This window comes from Homo sapiens, chromosome 1, assembly GCF_000001405.40.
Source record: "Homo sapiens chromosome 1, GRCh38.p14 Primary Assembly".
NCBI classification, from domain to species: Eukaryota; Metazoa; Chordata; class Mammalia; order Primates; family Hominidae; genus Homo; species Homo sapiens.
In genome coordinates this window covers 117,185,894-117,212,574 of record NC_000001.11, presented here as the reverse complement: position 1 = coordinate 117,212,574, position 26,681 = coordinate 117,185,894, and the positions used below count along the sequence as shown (strand labels likewise).

The window sequence follows — 26,681 nt, the reverse complement described above, 5'->3', positions numbered from 1 at the left end:
TTGAGGTTGGGAGTTCGAGACCAGCTTGGCCAATATGGAGAAACCCCGTCTCTACTAAAAATACAAAAATTAGCTGAGTGCGGTGGTGCACCTATAATCCCATCTACTTGGGATGCTGAGGCAGGAGAATCGCTTGAACCCAGGAGGCAGAGGTTACAGTTACAGAGCCAAGATTGTACCATTGCACTCCAGCCTGGACAACAGAGCGAGACTCAGTCTCAAAAAAAAAAAATTCCTCCTACCTTGGCCTCCCAAAATATTGGGATTATAAGCTTGAGCCACTGTGCCCAGCTGAAGCTGCTCTTCTTAAGGCTCATTGAGGGGTAGGGCAGAATCCCTGTGCCTTTGGTTGGAATTACAGAAACCACTGCTCCCACTGCCCTCAGCTTCCCCAGACCCGGGAAGTGACCATTCAGCACTGGCACTGCATAGATTCCAGGGCATCACCCTTTACTTATTCTGGGGAAGGGAAAGCACATAGACCCGCCTCTCATTTATCCCTCACTGCAACCCAGTGAGACACACATTGAAGTAAAGTGATGTTCTCAAAGCCACATGATTAATTAGGAACCCAGGAATTGAACCTAGCTGTTTGACTCTAAAGGTCTTTCCACTGTGACCTTGCCCTCTCCTGCTGCCTTATTTTCACCACTCAGTTCTCTCTGCTCCATCTTTACTCAATGGTTGCTCCACCTGCCCATACGCAAACACTAGGAGGATGCTGCTGAAGGCCTGGAGCACCTTCACTGCAAACATAGTCAGTCAGCAGCAGCAGTAAGCCAGGCAACCAGTCATGAAACTTTCCCATCCAAGGTACTTCTGGGGGCTGGAGGAAACAATAAGGAGAGAGAGAGAGAATAAGAGAGAGAGAGAGCAACGTTTAGGCTTTAACGAGAATCTTGCCTAGTTGGCAATCTGCTGGATGAAATGTCAGAGATTTTTGCTAACCCACTCACCTTTGACAGCAATAGCTTCTGAGTATTGGGATCTCCAGAGAGAGGGGCAGTTGAAGCAGAGCACATTCAGTGTCTTTTTGGAGTCTCAAAAAAATTGCAAGGTGGGAAGTGCTGGCCCTCTCCTGCTCCCACTGAAATGAAGCTGGAAGAGAATTGCACACCCAGCTGGGCATCTCAGGAGACCTAGGCAAGTTCAGTCTTGAGTGACAAACTCAGTGGTCTTGTCACTTCAGCTCATGGCCTTCCTGAGGTCCCCCAGCATGAGTCTCCTCCACGAGAGACCTGACCAATGGTGACCCAGCCTCTGTTTGAGCGTCATCTACCAGCAGAGATGGGGACTCCTGGCCCCAAGGCTCCCAGCATAGCCTGACACTTTGAGCTATTCCAGTCCTTTCTTATTTTGAGATTAAATCTCCCTCCCTACAGCTCCCTTCCACAGTCAGGAGGAAAGTCCTGCTGAATGCAGGCCCTGAAGCAAGGGCCAGGGAAGCTTTTCCTCGTCACCCTCCCAAAGTCAAGACTTGGAAAGGCAGCTCTGAGCCCCTGGCTTGGCTGGCTGGCCGGAGCAGGCAGCCACTGTGCCTGCAGGGAATTCTGCACAGCCAGTTTCCTCATACCTGAGCCGTCTACAGCTGCACGCACCACTCCCGGCCTCAACACACTATTTAAGGCCAATACACGGGAGCTGGTTGTGAGTCACCAAGGAAGGCAGCGGCAGCTCCACTCAGCCAGTACCCAGATACGCTGGGAACCTTCCCCAGCCATGGCTTCCCTGGGGCAGATCCTCTTCTGGAGGTAGTATATACTCTTCTCTCTATCCTTATGGGTGAAGGGAACAGCAGTGAGGTCTTTTGGGGATGCTGAGCACTGCTGGGCTGTCCCATAGGACCCCACCTGTAATTTTATCTGATCCAGCATTGGGCCAGCGGGAGCCTGGCCAGACAAGAGCCTAACTGGATTTGACTTAACATCCCACCTCAGCTGCTCAAGGCACCTGTTCAGGGTTAGGGAGGTTTTTGGTTGGTGGCCTGCCATGGAGGGCTGGCGCTTGCTGGGCAGCTTGGACTGAGGGGAGTACGTGCCAAGCTGGGCATTCCCCTGAGATGTCAAGGCTGTGAGCACCATGGGGACACTGAGCAGGCTGGTGTGGGTTGCATGGTGGGATGGCAGGGAATCCATGACTGCGACAGTGGAGGGGATGCAGGAGGACCCTTTATGCAGCCCCCAGGGGGACGGAGGAGAATGTGCTTTCATTCTCTGTGGGTGTGATTTCTTGCTACTCTTGAGCAATTCACACCAACACCCCTCCCCAGGCCCCCCCAGCTCAAAGGTTGGGTCCCTAGTTTTCCTAGGAGCTCCTTGGAGAGGAGAACTTGCTGCTGCTGCTGCTGCTGCTGCTGCTGCTGAACTCCCCAGAGAGGAAGAAGGAAGCAAGTTCCCTCCCCTACCTTTTGCTTCTCCCCTGAGCTACATTCTAGTTGCCTCTTTTTCCCTCAGAACAGCATTTACCCTCCTGGAAGGAAAGAGATGGAAAGTGCAGGGTTTTCTTGAAATGATTGATTCAGTGTCAGTCACAACTCAGGACAGTGTTTAGGGAGGCTGATACTTGTTGGTTCTAGAGGTTGTTTGAAGGACCAGTCCTCCAATTTGTTTCTTTTTCCCACAAAAGGAAGAAAAGAAGAGAGGGAAGGAGAGAGGAAAGGAATCCTCAGGTCAACAGTGAAAAGTTTGTGAAGAGACTACGAGAGTAATGTTACTTCCCAGAGGCAGCCTAGAAAGTTCTTTTCCTTGAAACAAAATATCAGCTCCCCTGACTCGACTCACGTTTATCTGAAATCACCTGCCGGGTAGCAGAGGTGAAGGACTCTGCAGGGCTGGTGGGGGTGGCTGCAGCGGCACTTCTGCCCCCACCCCTGTGCCTGGCTACAGCACTGTGCTCCAGGAGAAGCAGTGGGTGGCAGGGGCTTCCCTCTAGACCCTTCTGCCCTGAGAGGATGTCCCTAAGAAGCACCTATGTCAGAGGAGCTAGCATTTTGTGAGTGACTCCTTCCCTGCCCTGCACTAGGTGTCTTAGAGCAGCGTGTCCACCACTGCCTTGTGAAGACTCGTTATCACCTCAGAGAAGTTAAGGCCAGATGACTGTGAAACTGTGCATGAGGGGATCTTGCTCTGAAATCCCAAGCTCTCTCCCCCTGCCACCCTTGCCCCTGCTCCTGCCAGTCCCAGTTCTCCATGCCCACCATTCCTCCAGCCTTGATCCCAAGGACATGAAACACTCCTCCTGCAACAAGTGGCTCCATTGTTCAGAGGTCAGATGGGATGTGTGGGCTCTCTCGTAATGCTTTGCATCCAGTCTGACTGGTTTTGCTGGAGGATTAGCAGGAGGTGGGTGTTCAAAATTCGTATCCCCTACCCTTCAGAAACCCACTGGAATCAACAGAGACTCCTCTTGTTGGCTCCTGCATGCCTTGTTGGCTATTCATGCTCTGCAGTTTCAGAAGCAGCGACTGTCCATGAGGGTGGCAGATCCTTTGTGCAAGGGACCTCCAGGAAGAGGGCCAATGAGCAGCTTCAGTGGGGAGCAGGATCATGAAAGCTCATCTCAGGGATGCAGGTGGAGCCTGCCTGGGGTAACTCTTGACCCTAATAACCCTCTTCCTTTGTCATAATGGCCTTAATTCATAAAAATACCTCTCCTGGAGGTGATCATGACAGTGGTGATGTTGGAACGCTCATGAAAGGGCCTGCCATCCTCTGCAGACCCAGTGAGTTATTCTCCTAAGTATTCATAATTTCCAGAGAGCCTAATTCCTTCAGATCTCACTCTCAGCATGCATGCTGCTCAGGGATGGAATGCTGATGTGCAGATTTTACCGTGCCTGGCCTCTGTGCACATTTAGGAACTGTGTGACTAGAACCCTCCTCCCCTCTCCCCATCATGGCTGTTGACAGCAGCAGCATTCGCTCATGAAACATTTGCAGAATGCTTGCTAGGAGGACAGGGGTAGAAAACCCTTGCTCTGAGGGGGTTAAGTTCCAGTCAACAATATTAACTGAGCACTCACTGTGTCCTGAATATTGCACTAGACAATGGGGCAAAAGTGACTAAGATGCTGTCAAGGTCATAACCTAATGGAGGAGAAAGACTCCCACATAACAACTCTAACGCGCCACCCTTAAGTCCTCAGACAATAAGCACAGGTTGCAAGGGGAGCACTTCCCTCACCCAAGGCTTTTGGGGAGGGTTTCTGAGCCAGAGAATGGGTGGGCTGTGTCTTGAAAAATGAGTTCATATGACCCAGGTGAAGAAGGGTGGAAAAGGCTGTCTAGGTAGAGGAAACAGAATTAAATCAAATACAATAAAACTCATGAATGAGCATGGTGTGTTGGAAAGCTACACACTACTGTGTATTATCATCATAACATGAAGTTTGAGGCAGGAAATGCTGGGAGATGAGGCTGAGAGGTCACACCAGGTCACACTGGGCCTTCGATAGACTCAGAACTGGGATTTGTGGTGATGAGGAGCCCTTACAGGCACAGGCCATATTGGTGTCCAACTTTCAGCTTCCCTGAGCCTATAAAATCTGAGCCTTCAGAGCCTTCAGAGGGGGGTCAAGGTGGTTTTCGTCTCAGGTGGGCAGCAAGCCTGGAGGCCAGAAGAAGAGTTGGGAAACAGTTGTGGTCAGAGTATACAGGATGACAGGGACCTGGCATAGATGAGAGTGAGAGTAAAGAACTACAGGAGGAAAATGGATTCAGGAAACACTGGACTTAAAACTGGTGATATTTGATCAATGATTGGAGGGGCAGGTAGGATGCTGCAGAATAAGAGTAGGTGAGGCAAGGGGCAGATCCTGGAATGACTACCATGTTTCTGGATTGGGTGCAGTGAGTTGGGGACAAGGAAGAGAGAGGAGAGCTAGTTAATGTGTTGAGCTTGAGATTCCCCTGGGACCTTCAGATGGGGATGCTCCCTGGGCAGCAGAGGGCATGAGGCTAAAACTAGGAGAGGTCAGGCCTGGGGATAGACATCTAGTGTCAATAGCTCAAGGGCAAGGAATAGTCATAGGGGGTGGCTCCTACGGAGAGCATGTGGAGGGAGGGAAGCAAGGGGCCAGGACGGATGGCTGAAGAACACCAACATTCAAGGGTGGGCAGAGGAAGAGGGGGGTCAGGGAAAGAGCTGAGAATAAATGGCAAGACAGGTAGCAAGAGGCCAGGATAGAGATTAATGGATGTCAACAGAGCAGAGTTTCATGGAACACACAAGGCTAGTGATCCATAAACCTTTACCCTGTTTCATCTGAAATCACTAGTGACAATGGCATTGATAAAAACATGTCACAGGAAGGAAGCTACTGAGTAGAGAAGGAGCAGGGATCTTTCTACCATAGGAAGGTGGATGAAGTAGAGAATGAGGGATCCTGGGACAAGGAGGCTCAGGGAGTTTGCTTTGGAATTTTGGTTTCCCATTTCTCCTAAGTTTGCAAGCTGGTGCCTGGCTCAGACATCTCAGACCTTGAAGGTCAGAGAAAACAGTGCCTCGCAACACCATGGAAGCTTGTCTGGTAAGAAAATCTTGCTTGAGCCTGGGCTGAGGAGATCTCAGCACAGGCCGTATTTGTGTCCAACTTTCAGCTTCCCTGAGCCTATAAAATCTGAGCCTTCAGAACCTTCTGAGTCCATCCCGTGAACAGGACAGGAATCTGCAAAATGAGATAAATTGTACATTGGAAGAAAGACTTAAATAGGTGGCACCTGTGTTCCTGCTCCTATTGAGGGTAGATGATTTTCTGAGTGTTATGCTTTTCCCCCATCTCCACCTGTTGCAATGCTAGTCATTTCTTTCAATATTCAGCTCAAATGCCACCTCCACTTTGAAGTCTTACAGGATCTTTCTAGTTGCCATCAATTGCCCATCTTATGTTCATAGTCAGCATCAACAGATATGAATATCTGTTCCTGTGCCTGTTTCCCTCACCAGGGTTCGCTCCTTGAGGGTTGGGACTCTGTCATGCACCTTGTTGTAGGGAGGCAATGTAGCACTATGGCTGTGCATCTGGATTCAACTCCTTGTGCCACCATGAACATTTACCCTCCAAGAGCTTCAATTGCCCTATCTATGAAATGGGGCAGATAATAGTACCTAACTCCTAGGGCTGTATGAATGATATGTAATAATTATGTTCCTGGCACATCCTAAGAACTCCATAAATGTTAGCTATTGCTATACTCATTACTTGCAACTCCCTCTACAATCCATGGTTCTTGGTTGGCTCTCCATAAAAATTTGTTAACTTCAATTTCACGACTCCACTGGCACTTCTGATCCTGAAACAGATGTTGCAGTGAGGGTATACTTTGGATTAATTGCCCCAGGGATCTCTTAAATTCAGTTAGCTCTAAAAGAACTCTGGAGAATACTCATAGAGTTCTCCAGATTCTTATTCTACAAAAAAAAAAAAAATGATAATAATAAAGTCCACCACACCTTTTGTTGTCGTGAATCTGAGACACAATCCTTCTCTAAACCTGAGGATGCTAGGATTTAGACTTATTAAATGTCTGACTCTTTTAATGCCAGTATAGAGCATTAAAAGTTGGTGGTGAAGAGCTTCAGGGTGGGTGAGATGCATCTGGGAGGTCCTAGTGTGTACAAGCTCAGCGTCTAGATCTCTGATGAGGCACTGCTGACACCAAGAACAACAACCTCAGGGGCCAATTGGAGCGATGCGACTATGACCAAGCACGTGGTAATGCTTAACTAGCTAAACTGTCTCATAGTCCTAATCATCTCCATTTCACAGATGCAAATGTTGAGGCAAGTTACCTTGCTCAATATCTCCTAGGCAGCCAATGGCAGGAACCAACATGTTACTACCTAGTCCTCTATACCTACTTTTATTGAAAAATTACCTTTCTAATCAGCTGTGCTTATTCTCTTGCTAGTTAAGCAGAACCCTTCATCACTGGCAAAAACACACCTCCTCAGTGACTGTCATGGCAGAAGAATTCTTAGCTGGCCACGGGAAGAGCTGCTCCCAGAATTAGCTGCAGCCTGTGGATTGTTGGTCTGTGTTGCTTCAGGCAGCTGCTCTAGATGAATGAGTGCAGGAGTAAGGAGTTACTGAAACTCAGTAAGAATTATATGCTGGCCAGGCATGGTGGCTCACACCTGTAATCTCAGCACTTTGGAAGGCTGAGGCAGGCGGATCACTTGAGTCCAGGAGTTCAGGAGTTTGAGACAAGCCTGGGTAACATGGTGAAACCCCATCTCTACAAAAAATACAAAAATCAACAAGGTGTGGTGGTACATGCCTGTAGTCCCAGCTACTCGGGACTGAGGTGGGAGAATTGCTTGAGCCTGTGAGGTTAAGGTTGCAGTGAGCCATCATTGGTGTTACTGCACTCCAGCCTGGGTAATAGAGCGAGACCCCCCTCTCTCTCTCTCTCTCTCTATATATATATATAAAAATATATATATGACATGTATATATACATATACATATACATACATATACATACATACATATACATGTACATATACATATATACATATATATACATATACAGGACACGTATATATATACGTGTATATATACGCATATATATATGCTTTCAGAGCTTAAAAGTTCAGAAAGTCAGTACACCTCATTTTATCAATGGGATAATCAGAATAAAGTAGGCAGCTTGTCCAAGGGCCATACATTAAAAATGGTAGAACAGGGTTTTTTCTTTTTTCTTTTTTGTGAGACAGAGTCTCGCTCTGTTGCCCAGGCTGGAGTACAGTGGTGTGATCTCGGCTCACTGCAACTTTCACCTCCCATGTTCAAGTGATTCTCCTGCCTCAGCCTCCTGAGTAGCTGGGACTACAGGTGCATGCCACCACACCCAGCTAATTTTTTGTATTTTTAGTAGAGACGAGGTTTCACCGTGTTAGCCAGGATGGTCTCCATCTCCTGACCTCATGATCCACCCACCTCGGCCTCCCAAAGTGCTGGGATTACAGGCGTGAGCCACCGCAACTGGCCAAAACAGGGTTTTTTCAAGATCCTATATTGCCCAGGGACCCTAGCTAAGAACTATGTTGGACCCTAGCAGACCACATTTTACCCAAGCAGCAAGAATCCACAAATCTGAGAGACCAAGACTTCATACATACTTACTTTTGCCATATGAAAGTGTGGAAATAATGTGGAAACTGGAGTTAGTCTGATCTGTGGATGTATTCCAGCTCTCCACTTCCTAGCTGGGTGACCTCAAGGAAGTTACTTAATCTCTCTGTGTCTTCATTACCTTATCAGTAAATTGGGCATTAATAATAGTAGCACCTAGGTCACAGGGCTGTTATAAAGACTAAGTGAGTTAATAAAGTAAAGAGCTCAGAGCAGCGTCTTGTATATAGTTAGCACTTTATGTGTTAATTAGTCTCAAATTATTCCCTCCGATGTTTTTGCAGAAAAACAGAGACTTGCAGGGAGGGAGAGGAATGACAAGTCCAACAATAGCAGCTGGACTTAAGGACATTTTGTGTCTGGAATCTTTTGGGATTTCAATGGACTCAGACATCGTCTTTCTAGTCCTTGTTCTGTGAGGTGCGGGAAATCCTCTGCCACCTGAAGTGGTGAACTAGATGAACCCTAAGGCCTTCCCCATCCAAACTCGATGTTCAAAGTATGGTCTTCCAACCAGCAGCATCCACATCACCTGGGAACTATTAGAGATGCAAATTTTCATTCCCCCCATCCTGCAAAGAATCAGAAATTCTGGGGGCAGGGCCTGGTAATCTGTGGCGTAACAAGACCTCCAGGTGATTCTCTGTATTAGCAGCCGCTCTGTGCTCCCTGATTCCTCCAGAAAAGCACAAGGATTTAATCCAGATAGATATAAATTTCACCTGGGATCATTTATCATTCCACATTCTTCTTTAAGAAATGTGCTAAAGAGCCACAGATGGGTCTTGATGAAAACAAAGGAAAAGCCATGAAGTTTCTACAGGTAAGAAACCCAGGCTACATTTCTCTCTGTGTGCGCTTTTCACAATCCCAAACCATCTGCCTGCAATGCTTCTGATTTCCTATCACATCACTTCAGATGTGTTCCTGCTGCTGCCAGCACAGCGGTCATGGGAAAGAGGGCAGGCAGTTTTTCCTCTTTCTTTTTCTGCAATTTAAAATGAAAAATTTCATAGATAAAAACCATGAAAGATTTGAGAGACAGACAGTGCATCCATAAAATTTAGGAATTGTCTCTTGTAGCTCCCTGCCTCACCTCCTCATTGTGTTTTCTCAGCACCTCCACCCCCAGAATGGCCATTTCATACCTCTCTTCCCTCTTCAATCCTCTTACAACCCCCATCCCTTCTCCCCACCCCAGCCTCAGATGATTATCTTGCTCTACCCTTCACTGAGAAAAGAGAAACCAGCAGACAGGTACTCCTTCATCTTTTCACATCCAAAACTACCCGCTACCCTCACTGGGTGCCCTTTTTCTTTGCCTCCCCTCCTGGTACCAGAGGATTTGCTGAGCTCCTATCAAAGGTCAGCCCCTCTGTGCTCTGGATCCATCTCATCTCCCAGCTCGCAAACACCTCCTCCAGCAGACATCATCAATCTCTCCTCTGCACCTCTATTATCCCCATCAGCATGCAACCCGTGTATCAGGATTTTCTGTCTTAAAAGAAAACTCTCTCTCAGCCCCACAACCTCTCCAGCTACCCACCCCATCTCTCTTTTTTTCCTTTTCAGCACTTGTCGCTAGTGTTGTCTGGAGTGAGTGTTCATCCTGGTTTCGTGGCATTGTGAAAGGAGAGTGAGGTAGAGGTTTCAAGCACAGGCTGGAGCCAGGTTGTCTGGGTCCATCCAACTCTGCCACTTTCTAACTGTGAGACTTTGGGCCATCTAGTTATCCTCTCTGTGCCTGGATTCCTCATCTGTAAAATGGGGATAATATTAGAATCTACATCATAAGATTGTTATAAGAATTACATGAGCTAAGACATAAAGCGCTTAGCAGCATATTCTTATTTCCTTTTCAACTTACTCTAGATGGATTTTGTCCCCACTATACCAAGATACTGTTCCGGTCAGTGCCTCTAATCACCTCCACATTGCTGAGTCTAATGTTTACACCTCTGTTCTTATCTTGTCTTCACTTCAGCATTCAACACAGATGTCCTCACCACCTCCCTGAAGCTCTTTCTTCTCTTGGTTTCCATGACACTACACTCCCCTGATTTGCTGCTCTCCCCCTCACTCCTGACATCAAGCTGGTCTCTCAGCCTCCGTTTCTCTATACCCGGTTGCTGGTGGCAGCTTTTCTCCTCTGCTGCCCCAACTCGAAGCCACCAAGCTCTGTAGTCAGGTACAAGGACATAACCCTTTCATCCATTTCCTATATTTGATGATTGACCCTACTTTTGCCAAAATACCTAAGTGTTCAGGAACAGAATATAACAGTATGAGAACAATTATCCTTTAAAGTGGTGGGCAGAAGCTTCTTAAAGTCTTACGAGGCATGATAGGGTAAGTCATGTAATAGCAGGTACTGTGTGGGAGGGAATTTCTTTTCACATCCAGAGGAGCCCCAGGCATAAGCCCTTAAAGCTTGAGATAAGGTTTCCAGACAGGTCCTGGTGGAAAGCCCTGAGGCAGGAGAGAGTTAGATGAGGGAGGCAAGAAGCTGAGATTTGATTTCACTTCTGCTCATCCAAGGAAACTGCCTTCTAGCCTCTTCCTTCTTTCTTCCATTTGTTAAAGAGAGACCAAATATTAATGATTCTCTGCAGCCAAGAGAGAAGCAGCCAGATTTGATGGGAAAGTCATGGTGTCATTTTATTGGCCTTAGGCCAGGGGATCTTTGTCTAATGACCATAATGTAGGGTCATAGCAATTTAGCAAAACAAGCCAAGTTTTTAAGCTCCCCCTCACCCCATCCCACAGTGGTCACCTTCACCTTGGGGCCAGCTCTGTGGGTGCTTCCCCATAAAGGGGCTATATCTCTTGGGTACTTACTCATGCCAGGTCCTCCAGAAGGACAGTATGCAAGGAATATTAGGGGCAGGCTTGCAAATTGCTGCTGGCTCAGAACCTAGGAACAAGGCTGCATTTGGGAGTGGGATGCATGCAGGGAAAGGGGGAGATCAGGATTCCAGAATTTCCCCTACACAGAGGGATTCCCCCACAGAGCCCTGGAGAGAAAGCCATAATCCCGAGTTACTGTGCCTTTCTGGTCGGCAGCTCTGTGATTCTGCTGCACTGGGACTCCCTCCCGCAGGCCAGGCTTTGTCTAAAGGCCTGGACAGAGGAATTCTCTTGGGCTATGACAGTCTCATTCTCCATCAAGAGGCTGCTGAGGGGCTTTTGGGACAGTGACCTAAGCAAGCCCAGGAAGACATTTTCCCGTGGACACAGCTTTATAAGTTGGACCTTATTCCCTAAGTTAACCCTCAAGAGTATATTCTATATTGTAGTTGTGCATTTATGATAGGATTATTTTTCTACTATTTTCCTTTCCCATTATAAATGTATAGAATTGTCTGGGCAGGGTGGTTTATACTTATAATCCAAACACTTTGGGAGGCCAAGGGGGGCAGATCACTTCAGTCCAGGAATTCGAGACCAGATTAGGCAACATGCAGAAACCTTGTCTCTACCTGCTGCACCCCACCAAACAAAAAACAAACCAAAAAAATTAGCCTGGCGTAGTAGCTGGGATTACGCCTATAGTCCCAGCTACTCAGGAGGCTGACATGGGAGGTTGGAGGTTGCACTGAGCTGAGATCACACCACTGCACTCCAGCCTGGGTGACAAAGTGAGATCCTGCCTCAAAATAAATAGATGTGCAGAACATCTAAAACACTGGAATCCAACAGACATCTAGGGCCTTGCTGGAAAAGCTAACCATCATTTGTAAATAGTGTTGCTGTAAGATCCTGTACAGAACTTCAAATAACCAACTTAAACACAAACTTTGGAAAAGAGCCACTGGGTGGTGGGAATACCTGAAGATTTGGGGATCTATGTAGGCGGGCTACATCTGGGTAAGGAGGCAAAGAAGATATTCAAAGGGTAATGTTTACCTGTCCCTTAGGTCTTGGAGTCCACCTAGCTCAATGAGGAGGTCAGAGGAACTTAATACTGAAGTCCTGGCTGGAGGTCATCTTATCCTTGACACTACTCTGCAATCTTGGAAAGAATGGGGAGGGGGTGCACTGGGATTTTTCTCAGAATTCTGTTTTCCAGGCTGGAAGGCAGCAGTGAGATCATGGCTCATTGTAGCCTTGACCTCCCAGGCTCCAGTAACCTCCCAACTCAGCCTCCCAGGTAGCTGGGATTACAGGTACTCACCACCATGCCTAGCCACTTTATTTATTATAGAGACAGAGTCTCCCTATGTTGTCCAGGTTGGTCTCAAAAACTCCTGGGCTCAAGCAATCCTCCCACTTCAGCCTCCCAAATTACTGGAATTACAGGCATAAGCCACTGTGACTGGCCCATAGTTCTATCCTTATAAATGACTCTTTTCTTTTTTGTTTTTGCCCTTTTAAAGCCCAACTGTGAATAGTTTTTTACATAGTTATTAATACAATGTGTGTGCTTTTATGCTCTGCTTTTTCCATGAAAACTTTTTGCATTAAAACAAAATTTTAAAGCAATTTTACAGTTAAAAGAATCCCTGCAGGCTGGGCGTGGTGGCTCAAACCTGTAATCCTAGGACTTTGGGAGGCCGAGGTGGGCGGATCACAAGGTCAAGAGATGGAGACCATCTTGGCCAACATGGTGAAACCCCATCTCTACTAAAAATACAAAAATTAGCCAGGCGTGGTGGCACATGCCTGTAGTCCCAGCTACTGGGGAGGCTGAGGCAGGAGAATCGCTTGAACCCAGAAGGCAGAGGTTGCAGTGAGCCACGACTGCACCACTGTACTTCAGCCTGAGCAACAGAGCAAGACTCCATCTCAAAAAAAAAAAAAAAAAAAATTCCTTGTGGCCGGGCACAGTGGCCCACGCCTGTAATCCCAGCACTTTGGGAGGCTGAGGTGGGTGGATCGCTTGAGGTCAGGAGTTCGAGACCAGTCTGGCCAACATGGCGAAACCCCATCTCTACTAAAAATATAAAAATTTGCTGGACGTGGTGGTGGGCATCTGCAATCCCAGCTACTCGGGAGGCTGAGGCAGGAGAATTGCTTGAGCCTGTGAGGCAGAGTTTGCAGTGAGCAGAGATCGCGCCATTGCACTCCAACCTGGGAGACAGAGTGAGACTCAGTCTCAAAAAGAAAGAAAAAGAAAAATGGTAATTTCAAAGGATTTGACCTAATATATATTCTTCTAGGACATTCATTATCCATATTAGCATATTAAAGGATTTCAAAAATCCTATAGACTTAAGTCTGTTTAATTGTGATTCACCCAACATTATGAAAATGTAATCCCTTTAAAAATAATACTTGTTAATGTACATTAGGACACCTTCAAGAAACTAGGCACTGGGGTAATTACAAAAGAATAGAAGCCACGAGGAGACAAAACTATGTGAATGTGGGAGCCCAGGAGCAGCATCTAGGGCCTTCTCCCACCTTCCAAACTGGATGCAGATGCTGGCTGAGCAGATGCCCAGGAACCAAAGGGCAGGCTGGTATTTTTACTTTCCAGGAATGCCCTCCCATATTTGATATCCAAAGTCATATTTTTCAGGTCTTCCCCTTCTACAGCAGTGCTTTCTTGACTAACCTTGCCCCACATTGGCTTTTTTTGTAACTGACCTATGCTCTTGCCTCTCTCATAAAAGTATAGGGAGGATTCATGAGGTGATATGAATGGATCACCCCGTATTTCTCAAATGACAGGTATTAAATAAACGTGGGTATTGTTTTGACTGCCGTCTCATTGTTATAATTTTAATTACTTTATCTTTCAGGGTATTATTCTCATCTTAGTTTATAGGTGTTCCTTTCATTTGCTGACAACTACCAGGTGGGTGGTGCTGATGTGGATGCAGGAGGCGATGCAGCCCTGGGTTGCTTATGCCTCTACAGAGAATGTGGATGCTGAAGGCACACGTAGCCAGAATTTGAATTAATTTTTCTGCAGCCACTGGAGCCAAATGTCTAAGACAGGGAATGGAAATGTTGGATGGGGGTAGAATCAGAGTACAGTGAAACAATGGCCGGCCAGGACTAAATCCCCAGTGCTTCTGCCTTTTTTTCTTGTTTTACTCCACTGTCCCACTATCTGGAATCCTTCCCATGAGAGATCCTTTAACAGGCTTGTCTGTCATTCACATATAACACACAAGCCTTTAATAGGGCTGTCTGTCATTCACATGTTAGTATGACCAATTCTCTAGAGAGTGAGTAGGCATTTTGACATCACTGTGCAGATCTGATCTGGTTATCTAGCAGTTGTTAGATGTGAGTAGAAATAATCATGATACTTCAGGGAAGTGGAAGATGAGAGTTGAAAGGTAGGGTGGGGCTTCCCTATGATAGCACACGTTAATTTAATTAAAGTGGTTAACTGTAGCTGAGTAAGGTTGAAGTGACATTAAATGGGGCCCCAACAGTTTTGTGTCCCTGCAGTAGAAGGCAGTGCCCAGAGTGAGTGTACCTACAGGAGAAATTCTTGGACTTTCAGGGGCATTGGTACAAACACCCAGTTACCAGCAGGCATACAAACAAGCCTTTTGCTTTCTCATGATGGAAATGGAAGTACAGCCCTTGACTTAGACTCACTGAAGAAGCAAACGCTGGCAAACCTTGAACAAGCCATGCCATCTTTCAGATCCTTACCTCTCATTTTGTTACCAGTGGAGGGTATAAATATGTTACTGGTGGAGGGTGGCCAGGTTCTCGGAGTCTTGAACAAAGAATTGAAGAAAATGCACAAAGCAAGGAAAGAATGAAGCAACAAAAGCAGAGATGTATTGAAAATGAAATAATGCTCCACAGGGTGGGAGCAGGCCAAGCAAAGGGGCGCAAGAGCCCTGTTACAGAGTTTTCAGGGGCTTAAATACCCTCTAGAGGTTTCCATTGGTTACTTGGTGTACGCCCTATGTAAATGAAGAGGATGAAGTAAAGGTTCAAAGTCGTTTACTCAGTATACTCCCTAAGTAAATGGAGAGAATATTTACTATTATAGCTGAAGTGTTTCCATTTGACTTAGTTCTAGGAAGTCAGCATGAATGGGCCCTATGTTCCCTGTCTCCAGACCCTATTCTCCTGCCTCAAATTTGTCCTCTGTAAAAGTCAAAAATATCCTAATAATATATCCTGAGTTCTCTGAGAGCAATGAGAAGGGGGAGGGGTGTGAACATTGCTACTTCTCTTTAGGTGCATGATAAATCTGTTTTCTCATATTTCTACATTGATATTTTCTAGTAGACAAATTACTGGGTCAATGAAATGCTTGACTTTTATGGGCTTAGCGAATAAGTACTTACAGTTTCACTAATACTGACCCCAACATATTGTACTTATCTTAATAAACATGTTGTCTAAAAGTAAACGATGATTTTCTGAGGCAGAAAAATAGGTGAACTGCAAGAGAATCTTTTTAATATGGGTAGAGGCTCCTGCTAGCTTCACAATTTTCTACCCTTAAGGCAAATAAAGTTGTAAAGAAGTGAGCTGCAAGATGGTGGCTTTCATTAGCATTCCCCAAAGGTGTCAAACTGTGAAGGAAGTATTCTGTTTATCCGAAAATTCTAGGGGCTCCAGGTGCTGCTGGCTTGAGCTCTCTGGAACTGAGGCTGCTGTCTAATCATTGCCTGGGGTAGTTTGTGAGCCATGTATTGACTTATGAAGAACATGCTTGCTCACTTAAATGAAGAAAAACAAGTTATCTATAATTTATAGCATATATTCACTTGGGTACTAGCTCTTTCTATGAGAGCTCTTCTGAAAATGCAAACCACTAACCCAGGAAAGTATTTAAGTTACCAGCTTTATGGGAGCATTAAATGGAGAGATGCCTGTTTGCCCAACATCTAAAAGAGTTAGACTGTACTCTTAAAAAAAAAAAGGCAGAGTTTTCTTTTTTAACATATGTTTTCCTTGTTTGTTTTATAAGAATAATATTGGATTAGTGTGGAAAATTTGGAAAATACAAAAAAGCACAAAGGAAAAAAATATCTATCGGTCCTAACCTAGAGATAACCACTATTTATATGTCCTTCCAGTCTTTTTTTTCCGTCTCTCTCTCTCTCTCTCTCTATATATATATATATGTATTTAATACATAGTAAAATACTGTACATATTATTTTGGAAATGACTTTCTACTTATTGGTCTTATAAGTATTTCTCAAATAAATCTTCTTCTATAATATGATTTTTTAACAAATGCATAGTATTGCCGCTAATGATGAACCTTAATTCACTCACTAAGTTCCCTATTGTTGGACATTTAATTGCCTTCAATTATTTGCCAAAATTATTACATTTATTTTATTTTATTATTATCATCAAGACACAGTCTCACTTTGTTGCCTCACCTGGAGTGCAGTGGTACTATCATAGCTCACTGCAGCCTCAACTTCCCAGGATCAAGTGATCCTCCCACTTCACCCTTCCAAGTAGCTGGGACTATGGGTGCATGCCAATATGCCTGACTAAATTTTTTAAATGTTTGTAGAGGCAAGGCCTTCCTATGTTGCCCAAATTGGTCTCAAACCCCTGGGCTCAGGCAATCCTCCCTACTCATCCTCCTAAAGTGCTAGGATTACAGGTGTGAGCCACCGCACCCAATCCTATTACATTAATTTTAGTCAACACTATAGATAACCTTGGAAATGTATCCTGTTGATTCTGTAGAATAAATTCCTAGAAGTAGAATTACTGGATCAAAGTTGGCTGTGCATATCATAAGCCTTCTGATATATGTGGCCAAATTTTTCCCCTCTCCCCACACTAAAGTTGGTACCAACTTATGCTCCTACCAACCATTTATATGCTTTAAAGTAATAACTTTCACTAAAGCCTTTTTCCAGAACCAGCACTAACCCTGCCAACATATTGAAAAAGAAAATGACAAAATTTTAATTTAACATTACCATCTTCTTCAATATTTGAGGTTTTCTTTCTCGTTTCTTAGCCTCCCTTCTCTTTTTTCCCCACAGCTTAATTGAGGTATAATTGACAAAAATTCTATATATTTAAGGCATACAATGTGATGATTTGATGTACATATACATTGTGAAACGATTACCACAATCAGGTCAGTTAACACATATACTTTACCTCAGTTATTTGTGTGTGTTTGCAGTGAAGACACTTAAGACCTGCTCTGTTAGCAAATTTCAAGTGTTCAATACAATATTATTATTATTATTATTATTATTATTATTATTATTATTTTGAGACGGAGTCTTGCTCTCTCTCCAGGCTGGAGTACAGTGGTGTGATCTCTGCTCACTGCAACCTCTGTCTCCCAGGTTGAAACAATTCTCCTGTCTCAGCCTCCCTAGTAGCTGGTACTACAGGCGCCCTCCATCATGCCTGGCTGATTTTTGTATTTTTACTAGAGATAGGGTTTCACTATATTAGGCTGGTCTCGAACTCCTGACCTCAGGTGATCCACCCACCTCGGCCTCCCAAAGTGCTGGGATTATAGGCATGAGCCACCGTGCCCGGCCTACAAAACAATATTATTAACTACAGGCCCCATGCTGTATATTAGATCCCCAGAACTTATTACTCTTATACCTGAAAATTTGTACCCTTTGACTAACACCTCTCCATTTTCCCTAACCCCTATCCCCTGGCAACCATCATTCATCTCTCTGCTTCAATGAGTGTAACTTTTTAAGATTCCATATGTAAATGAGATGATATAGTATTTGTCTTTTTGTGGCTGATATATTTCACTTAGCATAATGACCTCCAGGTTCCATCTGTGTTACCACAAATGGCAGGATTTCCTGCCTCTCATAGGCTGAATAATATTTCATTGTAAATATGGGACACAATTTCTTTGTCAACTCATGTATTGATAGACACAGTTTGTTTCCATATGATGGCTCTTGTGAATAATGCTGCAATGAACGTGGGGGTACAGATATGCCTTCTAGACATTGATTACATTTCCTTTGGATATATACCCAGTAGTGAGATTGACAGATCATATGGTAGTTCCATTTTTAATTTTTTGAAGAACCTTCATACTGTTTTCCACAATAACTATACCAATTTACATTCCCACCAATAGTATACAAATGTTCCTTTTTCTCTGCATCCGCACCAACATTTTTATCACTTGTCTTTTTGATAAGGGCCATCCTAACAGGTGTGAGGTGATATCTCACTGTGGTTTTGATTTATAGTTCCCTGATGATTAGTGATGTTGACCACCTTTTCATTTGCCCGTTAGCCATTTACGTATCTTCTTTGAAAAAAATGTGTATTCAAGTCTTTGCCCATTTTTAAAACTTGGGTTATTTGGTTTCTTGCTATTGAGTTATATGAGTTCCTTATATATTTTGACATTAACTCCTTATCAGATATATGGTTTGCAAATATTTTCTTCTATTCTTTAGGTTGCCTGTTCATTTTGTTGATTGTTTTCTTCGCTGTGCAGAAGATTTCTAGTTTGAAGTATTCCACTTATTTATTTTTGCTATTTGCTTGTGTTTTTGGTGTCATATCCAAAAAGTCATTGCCAAAACCAACATCAAAGGGAGCTTTTTTCCTATATTTTCTTCTGGTAGTTTGAGTTTTGAGTCTTATATTTAGTCTTCAATACATTTTGAGTTAATGTTTGTGTGTGGTGTAAGATAAAGATCCAATTTCTTTCTTTTGCATGTGGACTCTGGTTTTCCCAGTACCATTTATTGCTGCTGCTGTTGGATGGAATGTTCTATGTCTATTAGGTCCATTTTGTCTGTAGAATTATTGAGGCCTACCATTTCTTTATGGATTTTCTGTCTAAACGATCTGTCCATTATTGAAAGTAGGATATTAAAGTCCCCTACTATTTTGGTTTTGCTGTCTTTTCTCCCTTCAGTTCTGTTAATATTTGCTTTATATATTTAGATGCTCCAAGTTGGATGCATAGATATATTTACAATTGTTATACCCTTTTGATGAATTGACCCCTTTGTCATTATCTTTGTTACTATCTTTGTCTTCACAACAAATTTTGACTGAAAGTCTACTTTGTCTGATATAAGCATAGCCATTGCTCTTCTCTTTTGGTTACCATTTGCGTGGAATATCTTTCCATTTCTTCACTTTCATTCTGTGTCCTAAGGGTAAAATGAATTTCTTGTAGACAGCATATTGTAGGATCTTTTTAAAAAATCTGTTCAATCATTCTGTCTTTTGACTGAAAAATGTAATCCATTTACATTTAAAGTAGTTATTGATAGGTAAGTACAGTCATCCCTAAGTATCTGTGGGGAATTGGTTCCAGGAACCACTCCCCCACCCCAAAATGCCTGATAAAAAAATCCACAGATGCTCAAGTTCCTTATATAAAATGGTGTAGTATTTGCATATAATTTATGCACATCTCCCATATACTTTGAATCATCTCTAGATTACTTAAAATACCTAATACAATGTAAATGCTATGTAAATAGTTGTTATGCTGTATTGTTATTCTTATTTCCATTGTTATTGCTGTGTTGTTATTTTGTTTTCTTCCTAATATATTAATATTTGATACATAGTTGGTTGAATCCACAGATGTAGAACCCATGAATACTAATGGCTAACTGTACTTACTATTTCATTTTGTTAATTGTTTTCTAAGTGGTCTGAAGTTTCTTTCCTTCTGTCTTTCTGTCTTCCTTTGTGATTTGATTACTTTTTTGTAGTGTTATTCTTTGATTCATTTCTCTTTATCTTTTGTCTACTAGAATTTTTTTTGAGTTATCCTGAGGCTTACGTAAAATACCTATAACAGTCTATTTTAAGCTAACAACTTAACTTCAATTGCACATGAAACTCTACAATCTTACCCCCAACACACACATCTTATGATATTAATGTCACACTTTACATTTTTAATAGTGTATACCCATTAAGAAATTATAGCTATAGTTATATTTAATACTGTTGTCTTTTAACTTTTATACTACAGTTTAATGTGATTCCTGTACCACAGTTACAGAACTAGAGTATTCTCAATTTGACTGTATATTTACTTTTTCCAGTGAATTTTATACTTTTATATGCTTTCATATTGTTACTTAGCATCCTTTAATTTCAACTTGAGAAACCTTCTTTAGCATCTCTCATAAGGCAGGTCTAGTAGTAATGAAATCTCTCAGCTTTTGTTTGTGAATATCTTCATCTGTCCTTCATTTCTGAAGGACAGTTTTGTTAGGTTTAGTATTTTGGGTTGACAGTTGTTTTCTTCCAGCACTTTGAATATATCATCCCATTTCTTCCTGGCCTGTAAGACTTCTGCTGAAAAATCCACCAGTAGCTTCACAAAGTTTCCCTTATATGTGACAAGCCTGTTTTTTCCTGCTGCTTTCAAAATTCTGTCTTTGTCTTTGGATTTTATTTTATTATAATGTGTCTTGGAGTAATATTCTTTGGGGACGCTGCTTAAAATCTTTTGAGCTCTGTAAATTTGGATGTGTATATATATATATCTATATATCTCCTAAGAATTGGGAAATTTTCAACTACTACATTTCCCTCCCACCCCACAGGGTCTTGCTTGGTTGCCCAAGCTGGAGAACAGGAGTTCAGTGGCATGATCATAGCTCACTACAGCCTCAAACTCTGGGTTCAAGAGATCCTTCCACCTTAGCCTCTGAAGTAGCTAGGACTACAGGTGTTTTTCACCATGCCCAGCTTATTTTTTATTTTATTTATTTATTTATTGAGATGGAGTTTCACTCTTGTTGCCCAAGCTAAAGTGCAATGGCGTGTATCAGCTCACCACACCTTCTGCCACCTGGGTTCAAGCGATTCTCCTGCCTCAGCCTCCCGAGTAGCTGGGATTACAGGCATGTGCCACCATGCCCGGCTAATTTTGTACTTTTAGTAGAGACAGGGTTTCTCCATGTTGGTCAGGCTGGTCTCAAACTCCCGACCTCAGGTGATCTGCCCACCTTGGCCTCCCAAAGTGCTGGGATTACAGCAACCAGTCTGTTTTTTATTTTTTATAGAAATAGTGTCTGGCTATCTGGCTATGTTGCCCAGGCTGGTCTCAAACTCCTGGCTGCAGGCAATCCTCCCACCTTGGCCTCCGAAAGTGCTGAGATTACAGGCATAGGCCACCACGCCTGGCCTATTACATCTTTAAATAGTATGTTTTCCCCTTTCTCTCTTGCTTCTCCTTCTAAGACTCCCATAATGGATATATTTGATCACTTGATGGTGGCCCAAAAGTCTTCTGTGCTTTCTTTACTATTTTTCATTGTTTTTCTTTTTGTTCCTCTAAATGACTGATTGCAAATGACCTGTATTTAAGTTCATTGATTTTTTTTCTTGTATGATCAAGTCTGCTGTTGAAGCCCTCTATCAAATGTTTCTGTTCTGTGATTGCATTCTTCAGCTCCAAAATTTCTGTTTAGTTCTTCTTTATGGTTTTTGTTTCTTTATTAAACTCTTCTTTTTTATGTACTGTTTTTCTGATTTTTGTTTAATGGTCTGTCTGTGTTCTTTTGTGCATCTCATTGAGCTTCTTTAAGATGATTATTTTAAATTCTTGTCAGGCAATTAATAGACTTTCATATTTTGGGTTGGTTGCTGAAATTTTACTAGTTTCTTTGGTGGTGTCACGTTTGCCTGATCCTTCTTAATGTGCATAGACTTGCATTAGTGTTTATATATTGTAAGGACCAAACATCTGTTTTAGACTTTATAGATTGGTTTTGGCAGGTAAGGACATTTGCCTGTCAGTTCCCTGGAGTGATGGTATTGCCTCCAGGATTGTAGTTAAGCAAGGTTGGAGTGGGGTTACATAACTGCTCCTGAGTCTGCAGCAGGGTCCACTGTTGGTGGGCCCATTACCAGTGGCTTGGGCAGATATGGATCCTGTCTGGAGGAGTCCTAGATTTTGGTCAGTAGGGCTGATACTGAACCAAAGGTCTGCCTCAGGATCTGCAGTTGGGTCTGTGGACAGTGGGCTTGTTATCAGGTGTGTGTATGGCTATGGCTCCTGCCAAGTCTCTGTGGGAGGATACCTGCTGAGTTAGTAAGCAGGAAATACTGGCTCTGGTCTGTGGCTAAAAGGGGCTGAAACCAAGTCACAGAGTTCCTTCAGCATCCACAATTGAGACCAAGGTTTTCAGGCCTACCTCTGCAGACATGGATGGGCATGGCTCCTGCCAGGTTCTTGGGTGGTTAGGACTGCTGAGGCCACAGCCTGAAAAATGCTGAAGGTAGGTCATAGGGCTGCTTCACAATCCTCAGTTGGACTGAGATTGGCAAGTCTGTCTTCGTGGGCACAGACAGCTATGTCTCCCATCAAGTCCTGAGTGAACAGGACTGTTCCATAAGCACAGCAGAGAGGGACTAGCACTGGGTCATAGGCTGATCTGCAGTCCAAAGATGGGAACAAGATCAATGGGCCTGTTACCTGAGGCACTTGTGTGTGGTGTGTGACTCCTCCTGGGCTCCTTAGCCGATGGTTCTGGTGGCAGGACCAAGACCAAATGGGGTTGTAGCTGAATCCACAGAGGATGAAGCTATTTCTGGATCTGTAGCTTGTGGTGGGTGAGTCTGCCACCAAGGCATGAGCCTACCTTGGTCTTGGGCTTCACTGGGGTTTTGCAACCTCCTACGTGGATTCCAAGGCTCCCACAAAGGCACTGGTATCCACCAGTGGTTGCCAAATTAACATTGCTGTGGGGGAATAGGAGTGGGGGATCTCCTATCCCATTTTACTGATGTCCCTCTTCTTAGCTGCCTTCCTCTTAATTTACCACCCAACTCTACTTCCAGTAAGGTAACTAATACATTCATTTACCTAGCTATCGATAACTAATGAGTGAAATGTTATACTAAATATTTTAATCAGGAACAAAAACAAAGAAATAACTTCCTTGTTCTAAAGTTTCATTTTATTATCAAGCTAAAGATGAGAGTTATTTTGGGGTGAAGAAAGTCCACCTCTGCAGGGCTTCAGATCGGGTAAAGCAGGTCATCTGTTCCTCTTGTTCCTGATGCTGACTTTTGCCAAGTCTCCCTTTCGTGGAACGACAGGGAAAAACAGTTAAATACTCACAGACTTTTCTTTCTCTACCCAACTTCTCATGAAAATCTTGGCACCTTTTGCTAAATCTCCACATTCTCCAACTCACAATTACGAGTTCAATGGAGTAAATCATGCAGAGAAAACTGAAAAGGAAATGAGAGAAAGGGCAGAGGATAGTGGACCTGCAGGTGCGAGACAAGAAAATAGGCAGCAGGGTAGGCACAGAGGGAGAAGAGACGAGGAAGTGAACTTCAGAGAGAGTTTTGAGGAAATTCTAGGAAAGGGAAAGTTTGGGGGAACTGATAAGAAGGGTAGAAGTTGGTAATGAGGGTCTTTTTAAGAGGAAGTTTTGCTATGCGTTATCCATGTAATGCCTTTGATATTTTTCTAGATATTCATTGGTTTCACCTAAACTTTTCCGCCAGGCTGATATTTTGTTTACCGTGACACTGCCAAAACCTAGACCACAGACATCTGGACTTTATATGGGTTATAATAACATTGTATCTCTGGAGTTAGAAAACTATTTTTTACTTATATATAATAATTAAGAGCAGATTTCTAAATGTGTGTTTATATTTAGTTAATTGTAATTGTTCACATAAAACGACCTAAAATTATTCGCATAAAACCTACCCAAAAGTATAATTTAAGGAGTCATTACCCTGAAATAAAAATACGAACTGCTTTCAATGGCCTGAAGGATCTTGGGGGAAAAAATGGGCTGCCATGCAGCTGGGCTGTGTCATGGACATATTTTGGTATAGTAGTAGAATATGTCCCAAAATCAGATGAGCTCAGTTTAGCATTTATCAGATGCCTAGGATGAGTCAGGCATGATGTCTGACACTTAGAGAAATAAATGTGATTGGTGAATTGATTCAGCATGACCAGTAGTTATAATCAAAGGAATAATTTCTTTTTATATCTGACCTTTTAAAGTGCACATATAGAAATACATGATGAAACTTCTGAAGCCTCTGATGAAAACCTGGTTTCACCTTCAATTGCCTGATATTGCCTCAGTCCCTTATTCCCCAAAAGTCTACTTCACACATGACTCTCACTGCTCAGTTCCCTCTCCCGGTTATTCCTATTGGTGAGGACTCCACATAGTTCTAGGACATCTGCCCTGCTGGAAGGGTACACATTCCTTGCTTCATAAAAGAGTGGTGACTCTCGCAGCTCTCTGTGTTCCCTCTCTCTGTCTCTGTCTGTCCGTCTCTCTCCTTCTCTCTCTCGCTCTCTGATCTGTTCTAGATCATATTGAATTTCTCAAGTATGATTTAAATTCTAATCCATGGTGTTCCCCACCTTACCCCATCAAGAACACATTACAAGCTCTTCAAGTTAAGCTTTGTATTTGTGTGTTAGAGAGGGGGAGGAGGATGTTTACATAGCACAGAAGAAAAAAAAATCCCCGAAGAAATATCTTCCCAAATCTTTTCCTACCCTGGGCCCTTTTAATACCCTTCATCTGAGTGAGGCAGCTAAGCATTATGGAAATAATTGTCAAAGTGAGTGAAGTGGGTAAGAATTATGGAAATGATTGTCAAAGATCCCCCCTTTTTTTAGTTTTTTTCTTTTCTTTTTTTCATTTTATAATTTCTTTTATTTTTTATTTTTTGTTTTGTTCTTTAAAGATTCCCTTTTTAAACTCTGCATAGTGATGTGGCACCTCACTTTGGTATGCAGCATCTATTTTATCTTGGAACCTCAGTTGAAACTTTAAATGTAACATCCTGTTACACAAAAATGAAAAGATATGGTCCCTGTTCTTGAGAAACTTAGAGGAGACTAAAGGAGACACAAATGTGTGACCAGATAATTTCAATACAATGTAACACATTTGTGTTAGAGCAATGTATCTGGTATAATGAGGACACAGAGACAGTTTCTGATGCATATGGCTAGTAGTTTCCCTGAAAAATTATCTGGAGGGAAGCTATACACTAAAGAAGGAGGAGTCTGTGTATCTCACAAATGCACTGACAGGATCCTGTATGTCATTGGGGACTTCATGCTATTGCTTTGTCCCCTAGTTCCTCAAGTGCCTGAAGGAACAATAATGAAATTATAGGTTCTTGGTAATACTGTTAAATTGGTAAAGTGGGTAGGAAAAAGCTCCTTTTTTTTTTTTTTTTTTTTTTTTGAGACAAGGTCTTGCTCTGTTACCCAGGCTGGAGTGCAGTGGCATGATCTAGCTCACTGCAACCTCTGCCTCCTGGGCTCAAGCAATCCTCACACCTCAGCCTCCCGAGTAGCTGGGACTGCAGGTGCGCACCACCACACCTAACTAATTTTTGTATTTTTTGTAGAGGCAGGGTTTCACCTTGTTGCTGAGGCAGGGTTTCACCTTGTTGCCCAGGCTGGTCTTGAACTCCTGGACTCAAGCAATCCACCTGCCTTGGCCTCCTAAAGTGCTGGGATTACAGGCATGAGCCACTGCTCCCGGCCAAAAAGCTCCTTTTTTAAAGGTTTGTAAAAGGGCCCAGAAATCTTAGCAGCCACCTGTAAAAATAGTAATCCCCTCTGAATCTGCCCTAAGGAATTCAAGAACAGGGTCAATTCTGGGGCCTGAATAACACTGTTTAATTTGATTTATGGAGACCAGGTATGTTGCCCAGGCTGGTCTCGAACTCCTGGCCTCAAGCAATCCTCCCGCCCCAGCCTCTCAAGGTGCTGGGATTCCAGATGTGAGCAACCACTGGCCTGGATAATTCAGATGTGTCTTCCTACAGTGCCCATGGCTTCATGGACATCAGTGAATGTACAGAGAATATCTGGACTTGAAGTGGAGAGGGAAAATAAGGGGCCCCATCCATTATACCTACCCTCTCATTCCCTGCATTCTATCTCTTATCCAATTATTTCTTTTCCTTCACAATAACTAGTTCATTTCACTTTCCAAGCCCCAGTTCCAACATAAAACACAACATTATAAAATCACAAAATACTTAAAAAGCATAAGAATGAACTTGCTTCTCTAATACTGCTGAGGCAGGCATGGAGGAAGCTGTAACCAGTTAAGGGCCTTGCCTGGTTTATGCTTCTGAGCCCCAGCATCTTGAAGACGCTTCATTTGGCTGTCTAAGCAGGTACAATCCACTTTATACACTAAGAAAATGCCTCCTTGGGGGTCCAACCACACCATAGCTACATGACTCAGATTTAATACGATTGTTCTAATTTCAGCTATATTACTTATTGTCTCTCCAACCATTGACATATTCCAGAAATTCGAATAGCTATGAAGCCAAACTATGCCTTTCAGATCTCTCATGCCTGGAAATAGCTCTCATGACCATTGTTGAACTACATTTCCAGTTTCTGGAAAAGATGGTTCCTATAACTAGGGACCATATTTCAGAACAGTGAAGCAGAATTTCATGCAAGGAATGTGTGAAACTAAAAGTATCTGAGACAGGTCTTAATCAATTAAAAAAGTTTATTTTGCCAAAGTTAAGGATGTGCCCATGACACAGCCTCCAGAGGTCTTGACGGTATGTGCCCAAGGTGGTTAGGGTACAGCTTGCTTTGATACATTTTAGGAAGACATAAGACATCA

At 43.3% G+C, this 26,681-nt stretch overlaps 1 protein-coding gene across 6 annotated transcripts in view; it reads left to right on the top strand.

Annotated features, from left to right (window-relative positions):
- The first annotated feature begins 1,647 nt into the window (after positions 1 to 1,647).
- The window catches only part of VTCN1 (V-set domain containing T cell activation inhibitor 1), a 67,341-nt gene continuing 42,307 nt past the window's right edge, over positions 1,648 to 26,681 (top strand). For 5 of the 6 annotated variants that reach the window (NR_045604.2, NR_045603.2, NM_001253850.2 and 2 more), the window contains exon 1: positions 1,648 to 1,751. Coding sequence is in view for 2 of the 6 variants with exons in the window: in NM_001253850.2 (NP_001240779.1) it covers positions 1,720 to 1,751 (32 nt within the window). In the remaining 4 variants the exon portion in view is untranslated. Of the gene's footprint in view, positions 1,752 to 8,738; positions 8,958 to 26,681 lie in introns of those variants that run through there. The other variant, NM_001253849.2, reaches the window with a different exon arrangement.